The 25,085-nt window shown below is 38.6% G+C and overlaps 1 protein-coding gene across 4 annotated transcripts in view; it reads left to right on the top strand.

Moving 5' to 3' along the window:
• Positions 1–25,085, top strand: part of ULK4 (unc-51 like kinase 4) — a 715,505-nt gene that overhangs the window by 64,101 nt on the left and 626,319 nt on the right. For all 4 annotated transcript variants that reach the window (NR_136342.2, NM_001322501.2, NM_017886.4 and 1 more), the window contains 3 exons: positions 1,000–1,181; positions 2,439–2,485; positions 14,051–14,129. Coding sequence is in view for 3 of the 4 variants with exons in the window: in NM_001322501.2 (NP_001309430.1) it covers positions 1,000–1,181; positions 2,439–2,485; positions 14,051–14,129 (308 nt within the window). In the remaining variant the exon portion in view is untranslated. The remainder of the gene's footprint in view (positions 1–999; positions 1,182–2,438; positions 2,486–14,050; positions 14,130–25,085) is intronic.

The raw sequence follows: 25,085 nt of genomic DNA, 5'->3' as shown, positions 1-25,085 counted from the left end.
TGGTGTGGGAGTGGAGATACTTAAGGGATAATTATTACATTTCTGTTGAGCTAATGAAAGTCTTATTTAGGGTGACCATCAGAAATTTTTACATACCTTAAATTGGTTTTTTCGTTTAACAAATTATATTTTAAGCTGTTAAACTCGATTTGGGGAAAATTATTCATCGTGGCTAGAGTAGAATCTATGATTTGAAGTAAATTTAAAATATATTTAGGTTTAAATAAACCAGCTAAGGGTTTATATTGGTCAACTTAATTACTGATAAAAACAAAAAAGAAACTGTGTAGAAGGACGTTTTTGAAAGGCCAAGTGAAGCAAAGTATTATTAATAGTGCTTTCAGTGCCAAGTAGGACTATTTACGCAAACCTAGAGAATTATCACCTGGAAATACTATTTCCCTTTTCTTCTTTGAGTTATTTAGGAGATTATATTTACAATTTATTTTGTCTAAAGATAGAGATCAGCCAAAAATATGTTAATTTTAGGGGGTATCACATTTCCTAGATTTTGCCTTTTTTTTGTATAGGGATTTGGAGGTAGGAATTTCAGGTGATTTTTAGCTATCATGTTATTCTCGTTATTTTTTTTACAATAATTTTATTGGAACTTTTTAAGAACTGTAGGATTTGTGCTTTTCTCAATATTTGAGAGTTGATTTATTTATACAAAGGCTCTTTTGTCTTTTACTCCAGTTGTATTGAACTTTGCATTTTGTTATAGTGTAGGTTGTGGGACAGTTCTGCTTTAGACATCTGCTTTATTTGAAAGTATAGTTTTCCATTGAAGTGGTTAAAAAGTTTCCGTGGATAGATAAAGAGATTAGGAATATAGAAGGACGAATAAAAATAGTGTCATCTTTGGAGTATTTTTGGTTTTGACAGTGTAATGTTTGTCCTCATCTTAGCTGTCGTAATTCTGTGTTTATTTCTTATGTAATGTTTCCAGCAGTTCTTTTTCTCATCATATGTACTTTTATTATTTTCTTTCCATCGCAGTGGATAAGTTATTATTTCTGAAAGATCAAGATTGGAATGACTTTTTGCAACAAGTGTGCTCGCAGATCGACTCCACTGAGAAGAGCATGGGGGCCTCCCGAGCCAAGCTGAATCTCCTTTGCTATTTGTGCGTGGTGGCTGGTCACCAGGAGGTGGCCACCAGGCTCCTCCATTCCCCCCTGGTAAGCCTGTGTGACATGCCTTATGCATTTTAATTTGTGTTTTTATAGAGGCTCAAACAAGTGCTAAAATAACAATTTGATTTAACTACCACAAAAAAACTGATTTATCACGATTTTAGGTTTATGAAAATTATCCTCTGCTTAATCCTTAGGTCCTAAAGTAGATGACAGTAGATGGTGATTTTGAACTTATTTTGTTTGTTTGTTTGTAATACTCAGGTTTCCATTTTATGTTAACTTGTAAGATTTAAAAAAAAATCTGAAATCAGGCTGGGCGTAGTGGCTCATGCCTGTAATCCCAGCACTTTGGGAGGCCAAGGTGGGTGGATCACCTGAGGTCAGGAGTTCGAAACCAGCCTGGCCAACATGGTGAAACCCTGTCTCTACTAAAAGTACAAAATTAGCTGGGTGTGGCAGTGCACTCCTGTAATCCCAGCTACTTGGGAGGCTGAGGCAGGAGAATCACTTGAACCCGGGAGGCAGAGGTTGCAGTGAGCTGAGATCGCACCACAGCACTCCAGCCTGGGCAAAAAAAGTGAAACTCCATCTCAAAAAATAAAAATAAAAAAAAAGTGATATCATAAGACAGACCTTTTACCTTCTCATTAGTGACTGGAATGAACTCCCCATGTGGAATGGGTCGGGGGTGTCGGTTCCTTTACTGGGTCATCTGGTAAACTGCAGGGTTTCTGATGTGACATTGAAGGAAGACATCAATCCTCTAAGACATTTTTTTCCTCTTCCCCTGGGAATATTACTTTTTGGACTGTCTTGGTCTGTTGGTAAGCTCAAGGGAATTTGTCAGAGTTTTTTTGGTTTTTGTTTCTTTTGGCTCATGTTTAAGCATCGATTGGCAGAGTTTTTGAAGTCATCCTCAGAGAGGAATTACAGTGGTTCGGAGGTGTTTTCTATAGTGGTCCCTCATTTGGGAATTGGCTTGAAAAAATTTAAGTTCATTTGCTTCCAGGATAGTATTAAGGTTACTTTTTTTGATAGTTGGTGTGTGTCTATCAGGTAAGGGCAGTCATTTAGCGAATATAAAGTGGTAGGAGAAACTAAAAATACTGTTCTTAGTTTTTATTTTAATCTTATTCGTATACTAGTGCCTTTGTAATTTAGTAAATACCATTTTTGGTGTACAGTGTAAATTTCCTTTGTATAAAGTCCTGAGCTGTTAACTTTGCTGTCATTTTCTGTGTTTTGTGACTTAAACATTTTAATTTTTTCTTTTCTTTACACTTAAATTTCTTATTCTAGTTCCAATTGCTAATCCAGCATTTGCGGATAGCTCCAAACTGGGATATGTAAGTAACGTTTATATTTTAAAAATTATTTTTCATGACTTTATTAAGTAGTTACAGAGCACATATTTATCAAAAGCAGAGTCCTAAATAATTATCATAAATTATTCTGATGTAATGATGACTCTACTCATAGGCAATTTTTATGGGCATTCCAATGATAAATTTTAGAATATTAAAAATAGCCCTTCTCCTAATATTACAAATACAATTCTGGGATTATCTAAGGTACTCCTGGAAACTTTATTAACTGTTATTGTTTTTTTATTTTCTTAGAGACAAGGTCTCTCACTATGTTGCACAGGCTGGTTTTGAACTCCTGGGCTCAAGTGATTCTCCCATCTCTGACTCCCAAAGTGTTAGGATTACAGGTGTGAGCCACTGTGCCTGGCTAACTGTTACTGTTTTGAGTATTGATTATAAAATACTTAAACCCTGATCCCTGTGTATTAATTTAGTTATACTTCCTCGAAGTTTCCCTTGGCCACCCTTATCTTTCCCTCATGTAGCACATAGCTTCCCTAGATGTTATTTACAATCTAATGGGATTATGATTTATAAACTCCCGATGGAAGGAAGTGTCCTTGCTTTTTACAGAAGCAACATACCAGGTGGAGAGCACAGTAGATCAAGTGTTAGAAGGCTCTGGGTTCTGTTTGCCAATAAGACTTGGCCAAATGATTATCTTTTTCTCAATCTCTGCTTCCTGGGGACTGTGGGTGGGACAAGGAAATGGCATAGGTTTAGGATTCAGACAGACCTGGGTGTGGATCAAAGATCAGCTTTCTGGGCCAAGTACTTTAATTGCTGAGCCTCAGTTTCCTCATCTGTAAAATTGGGATGGGATAACTGCTTCATAGATTTTTGGTAATTATTCAACTTTGAATGAGGTAAATATATGAGATACCTTGTATAGTGCCTGATTCTTAGTGGGTATTTCATTTACAATGGGGTTGGGGTTGTAGAAGTTGTAGTTATTATCATCAAGCTTGCTTATCTCATGATTGTTAGGACAGGCACATGAAAAAATGGAGGCGAAAGGATTTTGTGGATTGTGGCACTGGTATGATAATAATTATTCTTCTATGTTGGTGAAATATGGGTGAACCAATAGAAGTTTAGAAAATGCTTAATAATAAGGGTAGTTCTTACTATACATCTTCTAATGTTACTCTCCCAAAGTAAAATCTGGTAATAAAAAGTAGGATTTTTAGGTAATGGTTGAGTATTTAATACTTTGAGAAGGCTCATGGTATGCTCATTAAAAATGAATCAATGAAATACTTATTTAAACACCTTTATTTAAAATGTGTTATATCCTTGAATGGGGTGCCCCCTGCTGACATTTTAAAACAGACATTCCAGATCATTTCCAAGTACAGTCATCCTTCTGTATCAGCCCGGAGATTGGTTTTAGTATCCCCTTGGATACCAAAATTCACACATACTGTTTTTTTCCCCCACTTTTAAAAATTGAAGTTTGATTGTAAAACAGTTTTAATTTGAATAAAGTGATACTGAGGTAGACAAGTTCTCTGGTAGGAATCCTCTTTTATTCTTTCTCCATTCAAAGCCACTTCCAGCGACGTTTTCTCTGACCTCAGGTTATATTACCTTGACAGCATATGATAAAGGGTCCTTAACTTAGTCTGGGAGATAATTATTATTGACGTAGATATATTTATTCTTTAGTTTTGTTTTGTATATAAAAAATTAGAATCACATGATATAATTTTATGTTTGTTTTCCCCTGTAACATATATATTACGTATTGTAAATGTTATTATTAACATTTAAAAATAAAATACATAATACTTAAGATAAACTTTTTATATGTTGTGAATATCTGATCATTTTATTTACTATTTTTGGATAGTATTATAATGTTGTAAATAATATTTTGATGAACATTTTTGAGAATAAATCTTTGTGCCTGCTTTTTCTTTTTCTCTTTAGGGAAGATTTGTAGAATTAGAACAGATGGATAGAAGGCAGTAAATATTTTTGTGACTTCTGAAAAATTGCTGAAATACTCTTAAAAAAATTGTATCAATATATAATCCCAGTCAATGTGTTTAAAATGCCTTTTGTTAGAACTTCCAACATTGAGTATTTATCAAATTGTATATCCTTTTATCCTTGCCAGTCAACTTTGAGGTATAATTCACATATAGTAATAGTGTAATACTGTAATTTAAAAAATTTGTTAATTGTAAATTATGCATAATTTAAAATATTCCATTTTAGCCATTTTTATGTATATAATGGCATTTAGTTCATTCTCATTGTTGTATAACCATCACCACTATTCATTTCCAAAACTTTTTCATCATCTTAAACAGAAGCTCTTTACCCATTAAACAGTAACTTCCCCTTTCCTTCCCCAGTCCTGGTAACCTATACTCTACTTATTCTATCTTTGTGAATTTGCTTATGGTGAGTACCTCATATTGCTACTGAAATATCAAGGGGTTTGGTTTAAGTCCTGTTGCTCACAGCACAGAAAGCCAATCACGGAGACAATGAGTGTTGCTAGGGAAGAAGGCTTCAATTGGGTGCTGCAGCTAAGGAGATGGGAGATCAGTCTCAAATTTGTCTCCTCAACTGACTAAAACCAGGGATGTATTTAGCAGGGAAGAAATATAACCATGTATGGGAAAACAGGAATCAAGGAAGGGTGAGGAAGAGGAATTGGTCAACAGGAAGCAGGTAGTTGGTTAGGCAATTGTAATGGGTGAGGGGGTCTGGTGTCTTATGGTCCAGATATGGTGATTTGGTAAGTTTCAGTTCCTTGATAACTATCTGGGAGGCCTGATGGTTGGTTTCCCAAGAAAGGAACTCAGATAAGACAAATGTAACTTCCTCAAGTTTTAAGACTGGGAGGGTCAATTTCTACGTTTATTTTAAAAGACTGTAAACATCAGTTCTATAGGACAATTGGGCTGGTTTCATTTGCAAGGTTCATCCATGTTATAACTAACATGTGTCAGCATTTCATTCCTTTTTAAGGCTGAATAATATTCCGTTGTATGCATATACTACATTTTGTTTATCTTTTCATCTGTTGTTGGGCACTGGCTTGTTTATATCTTTTGGCTATTGTGAACAATGCTGCTGTGAACATTAGTGTTTTCTGTTTTTGTTTTTTGCTAACAGCTATCCTGATGGGTGTGAAGTAGTATCTTACAGTTTTGATTTGTATTTTGTGACTAGTGATGTTGAACATCTTTTCGTGTGATTGTTGGCTATTTGTATATCTTCTTTGGAGAAAGATCTAGTCAAGTCATTTGCCAATTTTTGAACTGAGTTTTATGTTGTTGAGTTGTAGGTATTTTTTATATATTCTAGATATTAACCCCTTGTCAGATAAATGATTGCAAATATCTTCTCTCATTACATAGGTTGCTTTTTACTGTGGCAAGTGCCTTTTTGAGATATGAATTTAGGAGGAATTTTTCTATTTTTCAAATAAGAGTTTTATACTTGAATAAGGTAAAGTAAATGCTCATCCATCATAAATTTTTTAATTAAAAACATAGTTTTCCTGTTTCTTTGCTGTAGTTCTTCTCTTGGTTGATTAGATTTTATCATTTGGTAGGTTTTTTTTTGTTTGTTTGAGACGGAGTCTCGCTCAGTCACTCAGGCTGGAGTGCAGTGGCACAATCTCAGCTCACTGCAACCTCTGCCTCCCGGGTTCAAGTGATTCTTCTGCTTCAGCCTCCCGAGTAGCTGGGATTATAGGCACCTGCCATCATGCCCGGCTAATTTTTGTATTTTTGTAGAGATGAGGTTTTACCGTGTTGGCCAGATGGTCTCCAACTCCTGATCTCAGGTGATCCACCTGCTCTGGCCTCCCAAAGTGCTGGGATTATAGGCATGAGCCACCGCGCCTGGCTGTTAGTATTTTTTGTTTGTTTTCAAGAAGGCCTCTCAGTGGCTTACCTCTGTGCCATGCTTTGGAGTTTGAGCTCTCTTCCTTGTACTAACTGTAGTTCTGTAGGACTTGTGGGTAAACCTTACCTTTTTTTTTTTTTTCCCTCTTCTGTGTGACTTGTTTGAGTTAGCTTTTCTTTTCATTTCAGGCCTGTAAATTTTACTAGATTGTCTCTAGGAATCTCTTTTTACTAATTTGCTCCTTCCTGCCTGCCTGCCTGCCTCCCTCCCTCCCTCCCTCCCTCCAGTCCCGTCTTGTCCCGTCCCTTCCTTCCCCGCTCCCGTCCCTTCCTTCCCCGCTCCCGTCCCTTCCTTCCCCGCTCCCGTCCCTTCCTTCCCCGCTCCCGTCCCTTCCTTCCCCCTCCCGTCCCTTCTTTCCCCGCTCCCATCCCTTCTTTCCCCCTCCTGTCCCTTCCTTCCCCCTCCCGTCCCTTCCTTCCCCGCTCCCGTCCCTTCCTTCCCCGCTCCCGTCCCTTCCTTCCCCCCTCCCGTCCCTTCTTTCCCCCTCCCGTCCCTTCCTTCCCCCCTCCCGTCCCTTCTTTCCCCCTCCCGTCCCTTCTTTCCCCCTCCCGTCCCTTCTTTCCCCCTCCCGTCCCTTCTTTCCCCCTCCCGTCCCTTCTTTCCCCCTCCCGTCCCTTCTTTCCCCGCTCCCGTCCCTTCTTTCCCCCTCCCGTCCCTTCTTTCCCCCTCCCGTCCCTTCCTTCCCCCTTCTGTCCCTTTCTTCCCCGCATCCCTTCCTTCCCCCCTTCCGTCCCTTCCTTCCCCCCTCCCATCCCTTCCTTCCCCCATCCCGTCCCTCCTGTCCCTCCTGTCCCTCCCGTCCCTCCCGTCCCTCCCGTCCCTCCTGTCCCTTCCTTCCCTCCCGTCCCTCCTGTCCCTTCCTTCCCTTCTTTTCTTTCTGTTTATTTTGAGACAGAGTCTTGCTCTGTCGCCCAGGCTGGAGTGCAGTGGCGCGATCTTGGCTCACTGCAACCTCCACCTCCCGGGTTCAAGGATTCTCCTGCCTCAGCCTCCCGAGTAGCTGGGATTACAGGTGTGCACCACCATGCCCAGCTAATTTTTGTATTTTTAGTAGAGATGGGTTTTCACCATGTTGGCCAGGCTGGTCTCAAACTCCTGACCTCAAGTGATCCACCTGCCTTGGCCTCCCAAAGTGCCGGGATTACAGGTGTGAGCCACGATGCCTAGCCTCTTCATCCCTCCTTTAGCTTTTATATTATTTCTTAGATTTCTTCCTATTTCATCCTTTTTCTGTTCCTGAAACCCCTACAGGATGGGTGTGGGAGTTTGTCTCTCTTGACTTTTCTTTTAAATTTTCTTTTGCTTTCTCACTTTCTCTTGTTTATTGAGGTATAATTCACATACCATAAAATTCACCATTTTAATGTGTACAGTTCAGTAGGTGTTAGTATATTGAAAGTTGTTCAACCATTGCCATTATCTAATTTCAGAACATTTTTCTCACCCAGCGAAACCCAGTACCCATTCTTCTCCAACCCCTGGCAACCACTCATCTACTTCCTGTTGGCTGATTTGCCTATTTTTGATATTTCATATAAATGGAATCATACAGTATGTGGCCTTTTGTGTCTAGCTTCTGTCATTTAGCATAATGTTTTCAAGGTTCATCTGTATTGTGGAATGTGTGAATACTTCATTCTTTTTATAGCTGAATAATCCTTGTGTGGCTATACCACATTTTGCTTATGTGGTCTTGATGGACATTTGGGGTTGTTTCCACATTTGGCTATTATGAATAATGGTGCGCTGAACATTTGTCTACAAGGTTTTGTGTGAACATACGTTTTTATTTCTCTTACAGTAGTGAGATTGCTGGATAAAATGATAACTCTGTGTTCAACCTTTTGAAGAACTGCCAAACTCTCTTTCTTATACTTTTGTTTTAGGTTCAGGGGTACATAATACAGATTTGTTATATAGGTAAACTCATGGGGGTTTCTTGTACAGATTATTTGGTCACCCAGGTACTAAGCTTAGTAAGTACCAATTGTTATTGTTTCTGATCCTCTCCCTCCTCCCACCCTCCACCCTGAAATAGGCCCCGGTGTCTGTTGTTCCCTCTTTGTGTCCATGCAAATTCTCTTCTTTTATTGCTCTTCCTTGACTTTATCTTTGAGCTCTCAAGCTTGGTATTTATCCCCACTCATTTTATTATTTAGGATTTCCAGTTAATTTTTTAATTTCAACAATCATATTTGAAAGGTTTTGTTCATTTTCTTTTTGTCTGATTGGTCCCTTTTCCTAGCTGCATATATTTGGTGTATCATATACTTCTGAATTTGAGATAAATATTAGGATTATAAAAATTCTCTTCTTGGGGCAGAATTTAGAATTAAATATTGTTATTAATATTAAAGGTTAAACATTAGGATTATATAATATAAGCCTGGAACCTGGACTTTGAAAAAAAGGGAACAAAATTAGGATTATAAACATTGTATTCTTACCTCTTGAACTTGTAGGTCACTTTTTCATCATGGTCCTGCTTTTTAATGCTGTTTATTTCTCAAATGCCTGGTGATCTCTGGTTCTTAGTTTATATTATGAATAAATGATTAAATTGATTGGTATAGAAGTTGGCAATGTGAGTTTCCTTTATGCTTGCCTAAGTCTCTTTCTCCAATAGCCTCTCCTTTAAATAAAGGGTTGGTATGTGGGTAGGTGGGGCCTGCTGACTGGTTGACTTTAATTTGGAATTCCAGCTGGCTGAAGATCAGGTAGGCAGGCTGGAGGCCTCTGCAATTGCCAGGGTGGGTTTTTCTTTGGAGTGGAGTTGGCTTTCCTCATTTACCCCTTCCCTGTTTCAGTATCTGGAGGACCACAGTCTCTGCTTCCCACATCCACACCTATGTCCCACCCCAAGGTGGATTGCTCACTGTAGGAACAATTTTCCACGTTTACCCCGGAGGCCAGGGCTGCAGGGTTTATTCTGTGTACCAAGGAAGGGTGATGGAAAAGAGGCAGGACCTGACTGACTAAACTGTTCCTTGTACAAGGACACAATTGTTCCTTGTGCAGTTGTAATCTGATGATTGTCCTGTGGCTCATTCTTGCTTTCTGTCTTAGTTTGTTCCAAGTCCTTGAGGCTTCCTTGGGAACGTCTGTCTACCTGTGATTCTTAGATAGAGGATTCCCTTGTTGGTTCTCTGTCAGTCTTAATTCTATCTATGCATGTCATCTGAGATTTTCTCAAACTTTCTAGTCCACTTTTAGCCTTCCTTTTTGTTTCTAGTTATCAGTTATCATTTAATAAAAAGAACTTGTATTTTAGAGACTCTAGAGGGATCAGAAAAGTGAGTGTCAAGTGTTTAGTCTGCAATCATTAAAGACAGAGAATGTCTCATAAGTTTAGATCTGTGTTACATGATTATGATTTATGGATGCTTTCTTTACCTTTCCCTTTTATTCTTTCTTTTGTTTCTTTTCCTTATTTATTTATTTTATTATTATTTTTAGAGACTCACTCTAAAAAAAATAGGGTCTCACTGTGTCCCCGAGGCTGGAATGGGACTACAGGTGCATGTTACCATGCCTGGCTAAATTAAAAACATTTTTTTTTTTCTTTTTGTGGAGACAGGGTCTCACTTTATTAGCCAGGCTGGTCTTGAACTCCTGGCCTTAGTGATCCTTCCATCTCATCCTCCTAAAGTGCTGGGGATTACAGATGTGAGTCACTTTACCTGGCCAAAGTTTTCATTTTTTAATATGATGTATAAGGTATATAGAAGTGCTTTTTTTTTTTTGAGACGGAGTCTTACTCTGTCACCCAGGCGGGAGTGCAGTAGTGGCATGATCTTGGCTCACTGCAACCTCCACCTCCTGGGTTCAAGCGATTCTCCTACCTCAGCCTCCCGAGTAGCTGGGATTGCAGGCGCCCACCACCACGCCCAGCTAATTTTTGTATATTTTAGTAGAGATGGGGTTTCACCATGTTGGCCAGGCTGGCCTTGAACTTCTGACCTCAAGTGATTCACCTGCCTCGGCCTCCCAAATGCTGGGATTACAGGCATGAGCCACCATGCCCAGCAGAAGTGCTTCTAATTTCACAAGTGTTTAGGCTTTTTGGTTTATATTTGTTATTTTTACTTTTCTCCTTTCACTACATCAAAATGAGTCCTGTATAATTTCTGCCTTAGGGAATTCTAATAATTCCAATATCTTTGTGGTCCAATATAAAGTCATTTTTAATGTATGCCATGAATGCAGTTAACTGTTAATATAGTAATAGTGGCTTGCTCATTCAGCACAAATTGTCATGACACAATGGTAATTTCTGCATGTGGATTATCTCCTGATTCTTAGAACAACATGAGGTACATATTATTATTGGTCCTACTTGTTGTGCCTACCAGGCATAAGAAAGATGAGTGATTATCCCAGGGTACTGTCTCCCTCGCCCCCAGTGGTGGGGCCAGGGCCAGGTCCAAGACTTTGAATTCAGAGTCTTAGACACCATCCTATACAGACTCCCACTGAGTAAGAGTGGTCACTGTTTGTAGGGTGTAGAGTTCGATAGATTCATCTGTTACTTTGACTTTGTAGTTTTATTTAGGATGCTTGAATGTGTGAATGTATTGATGAATGTATTCATTGTTGCCTTCTCTCTGTGCTTGGAAGAGAAGAAAATTGAAGTTTACCACTACTATGGGTTTACTTTTCATGCTTTGTTATTTGGTGTATAAAGATTCACACCAGGCTGGGCGCGGTGGCTCACACTTGTATCTCAGCACTTTGGGAGGCCGAGGTGGGTGGATCACGAGTTCAGGAGTTCGAGACCAGCCTGGCCAACATGGTGAAACCCTGTCTCTACTAAAAATACAAAAATGAGCTGGGCATGGTGGTGCGTGCCTGTAATCCCAGCTACTGGGGAGGCTGAGGCAGGAGAATGGCTTGAACCCAGGAGGCGGAGGGTGCAGTGAGCTGAGATTGTGCCACTCACTACACTCCAGCCTGGGTGACAGAGCAAGACTCCATCTCAAAAAAAAAAAAAAATTCACATTTTATATCTTCTGTACGTCATATGGTTTTTAGTTTAAAGGGAATCTTTTTCTCATGAGTTTAGCCTAATTCTACTGAGATTTACATTGGAAATCCTGTTTGCCTTTTGTTTGCCTTGTACAGCCTTACTTTTATGCACTTTTTTTCTACTAGTGTGTTCAGTTATTTTGCTTTTGATGTTGATATATTTATTCAACAAACTGTTCAGGTGTTACAGTGGCGATCGGGATACAGCCCTGCCTTCATGGATCATCTGGGCTGGTTGGGGAGACAGATAATAAACAAGTAAATGAATGAATAAGTAACTACAACATTTTAGTTTTGCTCTAATGTGGTAGCCATTAACTTCATGGGGGTTATTTAAATTAAAAATTAATAGTAGCTTCCACATTCAGCACATATTGTCAGACACAATGGTACTTTCTGCACATGGATTATCTCCTTTGATTCTTAGAACAACATGAGGTACGTATTGTTGTTGGTCCTACTTATGAGGTAACCAGGACCAGGCACGTGAAAGATGAGTAATTACCCCAGGGTACTGTCTCCCTCACCCTCAGCTGTGGGGGTAATTTTTAAAGTAAAAATTAAGGCCAGATGCAGTAGCTCACACCTGTAATCCTAGCACTTTGGGAGTTTGAGGTGGGCAGATCACTTGAGCTCAGGAGTTCAACACCAGCCTGGACAACATGGCGAAACCCCATTTCTACTAAAAATACAAAAATTAGCAGGGATGGTGGTGCACACCTATAGTCCCAGCTACTTGGGAGGCTCAGCTGGGAGGATTGCTTGAGCCTGGGAGGCATTGCAGTGAGCGGAGATTGCACCACTGCACTCTGGCTTGGGTGACAGAGTGAGAATCTGTCTCAAAAAAAAAAAAACTTTTTAAAAATATTTTGTTCCTTACTTGCATCTGTCATATTTTATGTGCTTGATAGTCACATGTCTAGTGGATACTATATTGAGCAGTGCAGATGTGGGACATTTCTGTCAGGGCACAAAGGTTTGTTAGATAGTGCTGCCTTAGATGCTGTCGTGAAAGATGGGTTGGTTCTGAGGTACAGTGTCGAGTCACTGGGGGCACCTGAAATGGTGACCTGAGAAAACCTGAATTTTGAGAAGGAACCTATACTGTGAGGGTGTTGTATATAGGGTATGTGGTACTTGTATTTAGGATTTTGGTAAAAAGTGAATATTCATAAGTGATTTAAATTTTCTATTTTAAAAGTATAAGGTTTTTAGGTAGTGTGTTTTATTCTAATAGGAATTGTTTTTGGTCATATTAGGGAAAATAATTGGCATGTTGATACATTTTTATTTTAGTTGAATAAATCTGGTAGCCAATATTTACTTTTATAAATTGAAAAATGGTTAAGTGTTTCATAAGTTTTTTGAGCTTGTCTTTGAAAAGAGATAGACAGATGCAGTGTCTCAAGCCTGTAATCCCAGAACTTTGGGAGGCTGAGATGGGAGGATTGTTTTTCAGGAGTTCAAGGTCAGCCTGGGCATCATAGCGGACCCCATCTCTACAAAAAGTAAAAAAAATTAGCTGGCTGTGGTGGTGCATGCCTACAGTCCCAGCTAGCTGGGGGGGTTGAGGTGGGAGGATGGCTTTTCCAATTGTCCTACAGATATTTTTCAAAATGACTACTTTTAAAGTATAATCTTTTTATTCACAGGTGGGATGCTAATTCTACAATTGCCTAGGACTTCTTTAATTTGTGTAGGTTAAGAGATTTTAATGGGAAATTTAAGAAGTGTTGAAATTTATAAGGATTATTTCTGTATGTTAGAGTTGTGATAACGCAGACATTTTCCCTGTAGTACTTCTCTGAGTCTGATTTGTTTTCCTCCATGGGTACCACATAGGTTTATTTTAAGATGGTAAAAAATAAAAGCTGACTAAGGTACATACTGATTATCCTAGACAACATGCAGACATCACTAAATAAGAGTGCAGTTTTCATCAACTCACCATTTGTTTTAATTAGAAAAAAACTCATCAAAACTAATTTCTCTGCATGAAATACCTTTTCAAATCACATTGAATGTCATTTAATAGTAATTTATCCACTTCAGTTTTCTGCTGGATACTAAAGGAACACCTCATTAAAACTAGTGTTTATGCAAATAACAATATTTAAAAACTTGATTGTAAAAATTTCTTTTACACTGAATACATACAGATATGTTACTGTTCAGATATTATTTACTACTTACATAGAAACTCATTGATCTACTAACAAGTAGAAAAGAGACCTTTAGCCAAATGCCTCTGTACTCAGCAATAAAAGGATTAATTACTGTTTTGCTCTTTTCTCTGGTTAAAGATTTTTAAAATTTTTATTTTTCGTTTTACTATTAAACCACAACTTGTTTAAATTTTGTCGCTGTTGCAGTATTGCAGCGGACATTACGGTTCGTGTCTCCCTAAGTATACGAGGGAGAGTTTCTCTGGGCTGTGTACATGTGGGAGTGTGGGCCTGACCTGTCACATTCAATTTTTATTTCTCAGTCTTATATCTAATGCTCATCATTGCATAATGTAACTAGCTGGGATTAGTTTCCTCGGTCCCCGACTCTTCTTTTCAGAGCCTGTTTTCTCTCCATTTACAGACGGGCCAAGGTTGCTCACGTAATTGGTTTACTGGCTTCGCACACAGCTGAGCTCCAGGAAAATACACCTGTTGTTGAGGTAATGTCTTTTATTACTTAAATGTGATGAATGTCAAGAAATACTGTTCTTGATTCTGTAATTTAGAACCTGCAGCTTTCACCGACCTTCACTTGTTTTTTCTCTGTGGGATTGTGGCAATCGTTCTAAAACTGTTACCTCAACAGACCTTTAGGCTTAAACATAGCAGCACATATACAATGTAGTCCATCATTAAAATGGCACAGCAGAGTTAACAAGGCTTATGAACTCTACTCATCATTATTTCATTTGTTTTTGAATAAGGCTTTTTTCATTTCTAGTTTTCTTATAGTCTGTCCAACAGACTAATGTATTTCCTAGTTAAAGCATAGCTTACAATTCAAAATTCAAATTATTTTGGCCTTTCACCTTGAATGTAGTGTTTTCGTATGAAAGATTACTTTCTACCTATTCCGTTAACGTATGTTACACTTAATTGGTAATGGAGTTTTATCCCTTGAACTGGGAGAGGCTCAAGAGTCAGCATAGGTGAAAAGAACCAAGGCTTTTAGGGGAAACAGCAAGAGCTCCTGAAGGAAGTAAAAAAGGGGTAAGGAGAGGGGATTTTGTAGAGTTGAAGCTGGTTGTGTGGTATTTGGGGCTTTAAGAAAAATTGGAAAAATTTCTATGTCTGTCTTGTCCACTGTAGTAGCCAACTGGTATTTGGAGCCTTAAGAGGAATTGGAACATTTTCTCTCTGTGCTGTTCACTGCAGCAGCCAATTGCTGGGATAGTATCCCAGCTGGCCTTATAGTGTCTGGGTGGAGATTAATTTAATTTCAGTGTATTTCCCTTGCTTACAATTCCATCTCTATTTCCTGCAAACTGCTGGATCTCTGAGTTACTAGTAAAATGCCACAAAGTCTAAATTTTTCCTTTTTTGGGGGGCCTAAAAAAATGAATTGTGACCTATATGATTACTGATGGTACCCAGCTTGGTTCTCAGAGATGTGTCAGGTAGATTTTTGTCTGAAAGATTGAGCATCTAGGGCAGTATTACCAGGAAGATGAGAAGGCTTAGGATCTCAAAAATGGGGGTTCCTTCTGATGGCTCAGAGCAAAAGGTCTCCAGTGAGATGGAGTAGCTGTAGGAGATGGGAGAGAACTTAAAGTCCAAGACAAAGTGCCAAGATTTTAGAGGATGTTCCTGCATCGTCAGAGCAGGCATTGGTTGCTCAGGAGCTGTGAAGAAGGAGCCTCTGAATATGTGAAATATGACTGTTGAATTAAATGATTCAGTAGTTGCAGTAATAAGTATTAAGTAGGATGGATACTTTAGGAAGCTGAGTTAGTGAATTTGAAGATCAGTTGGATGAATTCTCTTAGGATTCAGAAAGAAAGAGGATAAAGATTATGAACTAAAAAGGCATGGATGATAGTTTCAGATTTGTTGAACTATCCAGTATAGTAGCCACCAGCCACTATGGCTATTGAGTGCTTGAAGAAAAGCTAGTCTGAATTGAGATGATCAACTTATAGAAAAGAATACTACGACCACCCTGTAATTTCCAAACCCCATTGTTCTACTTTATCTTTTTCACAGCATGTATCACCACCTGGCATTTTATGTATTTATTTCTCTTTCCACACTAGACTACAAGCTCCATTGGAATCGGGATTTTGAACTGTCTTGTTCAACACTCCACTCCAGTGCCTAGACAGTGCCTTGTGTATGTATAGATACTGACAAATATTTCAAAATAAATAAAACTGTATCAGCATTCTTGGGACTCCGTGTGGCAGTGCCTGGAAGATGGTGTGTTTTGCTGCTGCAGGAATTGTCAAGGGGCTGGGCAGAGGGCATGTGAAGTAACCTGGGACCTGTTGGTCACCCTGGGTGATGTGATGGCCTCATTCTACTGGTACTTGCTGTTGCTGCTGCTGTACTCCCACTTGGAGAGTTTGGCCCAGCAGTTCCTGAACCATATTTGTTACCTGTTCTCACTCAGGTTGAGTTCTGTGGCCAGTTTATATTCTCAAAGTATTTCTCTTACTCCAGTTGTTGTACTTTGTTGACATTGTATTCCTGGTGCTGCCTCAACTGAGAGGAAAGGGTGGATGTTAATTCCCGAGGTTCTTGTATCTTTTATTCCAGTACTGTTCTCTTCATGGGTATTTGCTGATGCTTTATTAGTTCGAAATGCAAGAATTTAGGGAAAATCATACTTATTTGATTAAAAAAAATGGCGTGTACTGAACTATCTGGTGAACTATTTTGAATTACACTGTATTGTGAACTACATTTGGTTGGATAATAGAGAGCTTGTATAATAACTTGAAATTGAGCTAGGTGCTCCTTTGTGATGCCATCTTAATTTTGTTATTTCTCAACACTTTTTAGTTCTTTATTTCATTACTTTTAATGGCAAAAACTGTAATTACTTTTGCACCAACCTAATTCCTGCTGTGAGCAATTGGCTGTGATAATTTAAGTAGCCACTAGAGGTCATTCAAGCACCAGAAAAAAAGTTGTGCAAGTTTTAAGAATTTATGTTTCAGTTTCCAAAAGCAGGATCTGTGGAGGCTGAGCAGGTACATGGTACCATGTTTCATCTTTTTCCTGTTTTTTTTTTTTTTTTTTTTTTTTTTAGAAGTTTCTGCTACAGGATGTGTGGCTCCATTCCACTGGTGATTTTTACCATTTGAGATGAATAAGATGAATGAAAACCATTATAGTCTCTCCAGAAAAATAAAGTCAACACCTAGCACATGATTTTAGGGGATCTGGGAACCCCGTGGAGTGAATCTTTGGTTCATAACTCTTGAGACCAGTTTTCTGTAAAACTCACAATTGGGTGCTTGTAGATAATTTTTCAATAATCAGTAACAAAATTTCAAGTGTAAGATGAATCCTAAATTCTCTATTAGGTTTACTCTCAGTGAACAGGAAAAATTGTGGTTGCAGACCCTATAAGCATCTTATTTTATTTTACTTACTTATTTATTTTTTTGCGATAGAGTCTCGCTCTGTTGCCCAGGCTGTAGTGCAGTGGTGTGATCTTGGCTCGTTGTAACCTCTGCCTCCCGGGTTGAAGAGATTCTCAGCCTCAGCTTCACGAGTAGCTTGGACCACAGGTTCATGCCACCATGCTCTGCTAAGTTTTGTATTTTTAGTAGAGACACGGTTTCATCATGTTGGTCAGGCTGGTCTTGAACTCCTGGCCTCAAGTGATCCATTTGTCTTGGCTTCCCCAAAGTATTGGGATTACAGGCATGAGACACTGCACCTGGCCCCTATAAGCATTTTAATGGCATAGAACCTCATTTTGTTACTCACCTTTGTACCCCACAGTGCCGAGCCAGCAAAGTAATGTGTATTTTAGGCAGTTAATGCTGGAGAGTTTAATGAATGATTAAAAGAATGTCAGAAGAATATGATGGTATAATTTGTTATAAAGAGACAGAAAAAATGGAGCAAAAATCTATTTTACTATCCTTGTAATATAATTTAAATCTCTTTCATCTTATTCTGTCATCAACAGCTACAGAAAATAACTGGTCATGATCTCCTTTATGCATTTAGAAGCATTTATTGACATCTGTATCTTTTTTACTGAAAAATATAACCATCTGAAGCTTATATTCCTAGATAACACATTTACCACTCTGTAATCATTGTGGTTTCTATGTGTAATAATTTTAAAAAACATTTCTGATATTAAGCCAATATATTTAGTCTGAAGCGTGCAGTGGATATATTTTATGAAATTTAATATAGACCCATCAAATTCTAAAACTGAAAGGAATTTTTTTTGTGACTGAGTCTCACTCTGTTGCCCAGGCTGGATTGCAGTGGCGTGATCTTGGCTCACTGCAACCTCTGTCACCCAGGTTCAAACGATTCTCCTGCCTCAGCCTCCCGAGTAGCTGGGATTACAGGCATGCACTACCACGCCCAGCTAATTTATTTTGTATTTTTAGTAGAGATGGGGTTTCACCATGTTGGCCAGGCTGATCACGAACTCTTGACCTCAAATAATCCATCCGCCTCAGCCTCCCAAAGTGCTGGGATTACAGGCATGAGCCACCACTCCTGGCCAAAAGGAGTATTAACAGACATTTTAGGTTAACCCATTCATTAAATTTCTTTATTATCAGCTGGGCGTGGTGACTCACGGCTGTAATCCCAGTACTTTGGGAGGCTGAGGTGGGAGGATAACTTGAGCCTAGGAGTTTGAGACCAGCCTGGGCAACATAAGGAGACCCTGTCTCTAGAAAAAATAGAGTTTGGTGTGGTGGTGCACGTCTGTGGTCCCAGCTACTCAGGAGGCTGAGACATGACCCTGGGAGGTTGAGGCTGTAGTGGGCTATTATCATGCTATTGCACTCCAGCTTGGGCAACAGAGCAAGACCCTGTCTCAAATTTTTTTTTTTTAAATTATGGAAAATTTCAACATATATAGAAGTAGAGAGGCTAGAGTAATGAGGTAGTATCATTTGCTTCCAGCAATCAACACTGGCTAATCTTGTTTCATCTTGTGTCCTGCTTTCATTCCCCCTCTCCCTTTTTCTCTCCCTCTCTCTTTCTTGCTGGAGTATTTTAAATAAAATGATATCATTTTACTAGTAAATATCTTTTGCTAGCAGAAAAGGATTAGAAAAATGTATAACCATGATTTCATTATCACACCCAATACATTCAGCAGTAGTCTCTGAATATCATCTAATACCCAGTTAGTGTTCAGATTTTCTTGGTGGTTTCATACATGTCATTTTGTAATTTTTCTTTGAGCCAGGATTGCGTTTAGATATTGTGACCCTTAAGTCTCTTAATTCCTGGTCTCTTATTTTTTAGTGTCATTTATTTGTTACAGACAAATTGTCCCTTGTCTTGGCCCAAATTGGAATACCAGAAGCTTTACTGCACCCTTTTGGTGTTATTTAATATAGTCCTTTATCACCTGCCTTTCCTTTCTTGCGCATGGCTGCTTAGATGTGGACCCTTGATTCAGTACTTTTTTTTGGGGGGATGGCTTGGGGAAATAGGAATTTGTCACAGTTGGTGCTGTATTTCTCCTACTGCTTCATAGGAAGTGAGACAATTAAACATTATATGCCTCTATTAGAGGGGTTAAAGTTGATCACTAGACTCAGATGTTGTCAGCCTTATTATAAATATTCCCATCACTCTTTTTTTTTCTTCATACCCTTATCTGTGAGTCAGGAACTCCTCACTCTTTTTTTTTTTTTTTTTTTTTAACAGTTTTAACATCAATCGATTATTGTCTACATGTAGTAATCCTTTAGAGTTGCAAAATGATAATTTTCTTATTCTGTAATTTCCTTTCTATTTGTAGTTGGAAGTTTTCTTACAGAAGATCTTTCCCTGATCAACTATTTGGTTATCCTTAAAATAGAGTTTGTTTTGCAAGGCAGGATAAATGCTTGATTGTTCCTCTTCATAGGTCAGTTTTCAGAATAAAGAGTTGGTACCTGAGAAATCTCCGTGTCTAGTGAGATTGATTTTATATTGTTAAGAACTTACAGGTGTATATATGTATATGTATATCGTCTAGTCCTTTGCAGTCATTAGTCTTTTTGATGCTTACATTGTTTCATCTCCATCCAGTGGGAGCTCTTTCAAGTTTGCTCCTTTCTCCCTTTGACATGAGCCTACTCCTGTCTCTGACAGCTTGCTGGCTTCTCGGCAGTGAGCTTTCATAGGCTTGTTTCGGGAATAGTCAACCCCTAGTTTTGAAACCACTTCTATAAGGAATCTTGTTTACTTTGTTAGAAGATGTAGTTAGAGAACTCAATCTGGGTTCTCTAGGTTTTTTTTTTTTTTTTTTTTTCCTGGTAGAGCTTTTCAGAGGTTAGATCTAGGTACTATTGTTTCTTAAAAAGAGAAAAATTCACAGTTTATTCTGCTTTTCCAATTCAGATTTTTTTATTGAGACAGAGTTTTGCTCTTGTTGCCCAGGCTGGAGTGCGACGGCGCGATCTCGGCTCACCGCAACCTCTGCCTCCCGGGTTCAAGCGATTCTCCTGCCTTAGCCTCTTGAGTAGCTGAGATTACAGGCATGCACCATCATGCCCGACTAATTTTGTATTTTTAGTAGAGATGGGGTTTCACCATGTTGGCCAGGCTGGTCTCAAACTCCTGACCTCAGGTGATCCACCCACCTTGGCCTCCCAAAGTTCTGGGATTATAGCGGTGAGCCACCACGCCTGGCTCCAATTCAGATTTAAAATTCGTTTTTACCTTTTGATTTACAATTTTTATTTTTCTTCTCATAAGCTAAAATTCCTGGCTGGGGCGGTGGCTCATGCCTGTAATACCAGCACTTTGGGAGCTGAGGTGGGTGGATCACTTGAGTTCAGGCGTTCGAGACCAGCTTGGCCAACATGGCAAAACCCCATCTCTACTAAAAATACAAAAATTAGCCGAGCATAGTGATGCACGCCTGTAATCCTGGCTCCTTGGGAGGCTGGGGCATGAGAATTGCTTGAACCCAGGAGGCGGAGGCTGCTGGGATCGGACCACTGCGCTCCAGCCTAGGCAACAGAGCAAGACTCTGTCTCAAAAAAAAACACTCTTGGCCATTAATAACATTAACATAATTATCTTTTTTTTTAGCTTAGAGTTTAGAATAGTTTAAAAATAGTACACGTATTGTTACTAACAACAAAACTACAAAGTGCATTTTAAGTACTTTTTTTCCCTTGGGATATAACCCACTGGATGATATGTACAGTCAAAACGCTGAGTTTTAAAAGCAATTTATATAATTCTTCACTTTGTACTTTTGTCACCAATATGATATATAGTTACATATGTTTTCAATTTTTTTTAGATATTTAGAGATTACTTTGTACTTTCTTTCTGGTTTGAAAATTATAATTCTTTTTTATTGAAGTGTTGGAAATACATACAAAACATAAATGTATTGCTTAATGAATTATTGCCAAGTGTGAAAACCCAATAAACTGTCACTGGGTCAAGAAACAGAACATTAAGTAGAACATTGCCAGCATACCCGGGGATCCTCTTGTGCTCTCTCCTGATCACTGTTCTCTCCCTTTGTGCCAAAGGAAGTTACCGTAACTTCCAATTCTGTCATGATTTTGCCGGCTTTTGAATTTTGTTTAAATTGAGTCATATGATATGTATACTTTGGTATCTGGCTTCTTTTATTTCATATTATGTTTATGGAATTCATCCTTGTTGCCTGTACCTGTAGTTCATTTTTATTACATGAGTATACTACATCACTGGTGATGGGCATTTGGATTGTTTTCTGTATTTGGCTATTAAAAGCCTTGCACACACATTTTGATGCACTTGCGCAAGCTCTCTGTTGGATATGTGTAGGAATGGAATTGGTAGGTTACAGGATATGTGTGTGTTCAACTTTAGGGGGTAATCTAAACTGTTTTCCAGTAAGGTTGTATAAGTTAAAATGCTTTGACTAATGAAAGAATGTTCAGTGCTCTGTATTCTCATGAATACTTGGTGTTGGCATAAAATCATGTTAAATAAGTATTTACCAGTTTCCTCTTTGTTTTTAACATTAATGGTTATTGAGTTTGGTATGGCATCAGAAGATAGGAGTATTTAATTTTTCTTCCTATCTCTATTAATAGGTGGATTATATTAATGGAATTCCTAAAAATAAATCACCTTTGCATCATTATAAGAAACAACTTGGTGCTCTCTATAATTCACTGTTGGAGTCTCTTTCCTCATGTTTTTTTCTAGAATTGTTCCTCTATTTTTTCTTGCCACATTACATTGATTCTTGGAGAGTCCAGGCTGTTTGTCCTGTTGAATATTCCACATTCCAGATTTGTCTGCTTGCTTTTTTTGGTATTGCTAACTTATTCCTCTAGTCCACACATTTCCTATAAACTGTAGGTTAGGTCTGGACGCTTCATTAGATTTAGGTTGAACCTTTTTTTTTTTTTTTTGGTAAGAACATATCATAGGTGATACTGGGTACTTCATATTTGAACTCATCAGGAAGCATGCAGTGTCAGGTTTTAATAGTTGCACCTACTTTGATCATTTGATTAAAGTAGTGCTGCCAGAGAGCTCCATTGTAAAGGTACATCTTTTCCTTTGCAGTGCCACTTTAGCTCTCATGTGATGTATGCAATAAGAGCATAATATTAAAACTTATATAGATTATAACTGCTGTTTTAACATTTTTCTAAAAAAAAACATTCAGGAAATGTTAATCATTGTATTAATTGTCATTAATTGCCATTGCATTTTCTCTTTATTTTCAACAGATTATTACTATTTTTATTTTTGAGATGCAGTCTCATTGTGTTGTTCAGGCTGGACTACAGTGGCACAATCATAGCTCACTACCTTGGGCTTAAGCCATCTTCCCACCTCAGCCTCCTAACTAGCTAGTACTAGAGGTGCATGCCACCATGGCCAGCTATTTTTTTATTTTTTATTTTTTGTAGAGACGTAGTCTCCCTATGTTGCCCAGGCTGGCCTTTTTAATTTTTAAAAAATCATTTTAGCCAAGCTTTATTGAATGCTTGCTGTGTACCAGGTGCCAGGCTGGTCTTAAACTCCTGGGCTCAAGTGATCCATTAACCTCAGCCTCCCAAAGTGTTGGGATTACCAGCGTGAGCTATCACACCTGGCCTCAACAGATTATTAATTCACTAAGTTCATCATGCTGTGTAACATTATTTTCACCATTATTGTTTTTGAAATTTATCTTATTTAATTTTTGTTTAGGCAGGGTCTCGCTCTGTTGCCCAGGTTGGAGTGCAGTAGCACGATCATGGCTCACTGAAAGTTCATACTCCTGGGCTCAACTGATCTCCCACTTCAGCCTCCCCAGTAGCTGGGACTACAGGTACACATCACCATGCCTGACTAATCTTTTAATTTTTACTTTTAGTAGAGATGGTGTCTCATATTATTTCCCAGGCTGGTCTCTAACTTCTGGTGACAAGCAATCCACCTGCCTCAGCCTTCCAAAGTGCTGGGATTACAGGCATGAGCTACTGCACCTGACTGCTAATTAATTAATATGTTTTTAATATATATTTTTTATTTCAATAGCTTTTGGAATGCAAGTGGTTTTTGATTACATGGATGAGTTGTATAATGGTGAAGTCTGAGATTTTAGTGCACTGGTCACCTGAGTAGTGTACACTGTACTCAATATGTAGTCTTTTTAATCCCTCTCCCCTCCTTCACTTGTGAGTCTCCAGTGTCCATTATACCATTCTGTATACCTTTGCATACTCATAGCTTAGCTCCCGCTTATAATTGGGAACATACGATATTTGGATTTCTATTCCTGAGTTACATCACTTAGAATAATGCTGGCCTCTAATTTAATTTGAAAAATTTATTTTACATTCTATGTCCTCATGTTTTTTGGTGGGATAATCATGTTTTATGATTTAGTTCTTTAAAAGAGTGAAATATTGTAAGAATTATTGACTTAAGAATATTGGCACTACGTTCTTTAGCTTTCTACTGAATTGGTTATAGAATTGAATTTTATGTTAAAAGTGGATATATGGTGATTTGAAGCATTATTTAACTTAGTTCTTCCTGAAAATTGTGTGCTTTTGGAAACTCTAAACGTAGTGTATGATGAATCTATTTCAAAGGCTGTGATATTATGTGCTCCACTTTGGGCTCTTGCTCCGTATTAAGATGCACGATTGCACCACTTCCTCTTCTCTCTCGCCTAGCTTGAGTAGTATTGCTTTTCATTACTAGAACAACTACACATAATCAGTCCTGTCATTGTCCTTATTTTCCATAGTCTTCATTTTCAATTTATAACCTTTTTTCAAGAACAAATAGCACTTGTTGCACTTTCTGAGATATATGAATTATATATACATATATATGGACTTATTTTTCCCTATAGTTTTTCCATGTAGCATTTATTATGATTTTGTAAATATTCTAATTATAAAAATAATATGTGGTCTTCTAATTATGGCAATTTAGCTGTTGAGATAATCTTGCAAATTATGTGTGATCCTCCCACATCAAAAAAAAAAAACAAAAAAAACCACAAAAACAAACCTAGAGGGCGGGTGCGGTGGCTCATGCCTGTAATCCCAGCACTTTTGGGAGGCTGAGGCAGGTGGATCACCTGAGGTCAGGAGTTTGAGACCATCCTAACCAATATGGTGAAACTCCATCTCTACTAAAAATACAAAATTAGTTAGGCATGATGGTGCATGCCTGTAATCTCAGTTACTCGAGAGACTAAGGCAGGAGAATCGCTTGAACCCGGGAGGCAGAGGTTGCAGTGAGCTGAGATCGCACAACTGCGCTCTAGCCTGGGCGACAGAGTGAGACTCCATCTCGAAAACAAAAAACAAAACAAACACAAAACAAACAAACCTAAAAATGTAGGGTAAAATGTAACAAAAAGACTTTGGAATACACATGTGAATGAACAAGAAAGTGAGGGAAATTTTCAAAAGTCAGAAATGGCGGCAGCTAAAATCCTGAAATAGTAATACTTTAAGACTGTCTGGGACAAGATGAGATGGTGGTTATTGCTGTTGTATAATAGTTTTGAGGTTTGATACAATTTAAGAATAGAAGATGAGGCCTGAGGTTTGCCTTGAAGCAGTTAGATGGAGCTAAGAGCCTTGGAAGGCTATCCTTTTAGAAAAATGGGGCATTTTCAAAAAAAAAAAAAAAAAAAGAAAGGCAACTCATTTACCTACATAGAGAGATAGAGAGATAACAAGTTAGTTTGTTTGCTTATTTATTTATTTGAGATGGAGTCTCGCCCTGTCGGCCAGGCTGGAGTGCAGTGGCGTGATCTTGGCTCACTGCAGCCTTTCCCTCCCAGGTTCAAGCAATTCTCTACCTCAGCCTCCCGAGTAGCTGGGATTACAGGTGTCTACCACCATACTCGGCTTATTTTTGTATTTTTAGTAGAGATGGGGTTTCACCATCTTGGCCAGGCTGGTCTTGAACTCCTGACCTCGTGATCCACCCGCCTTGGC

This window comes from Homo sapiens, chromosome 3, assembly GCF_000001405.40.
Source record: "Homo sapiens chromosome 3, GRCh38.p14 Primary Assembly".
Lineage (NCBI taxonomy): Eukaryota > Metazoa > Chordata > Mammalia > Primates > Hominidae > Homo > Homo sapiens.
The sequence above is the reverse complement of the archived record's forward strand: the minus strand, read 5'-3'. Positions and strand labels throughout refer to the sequence as shown.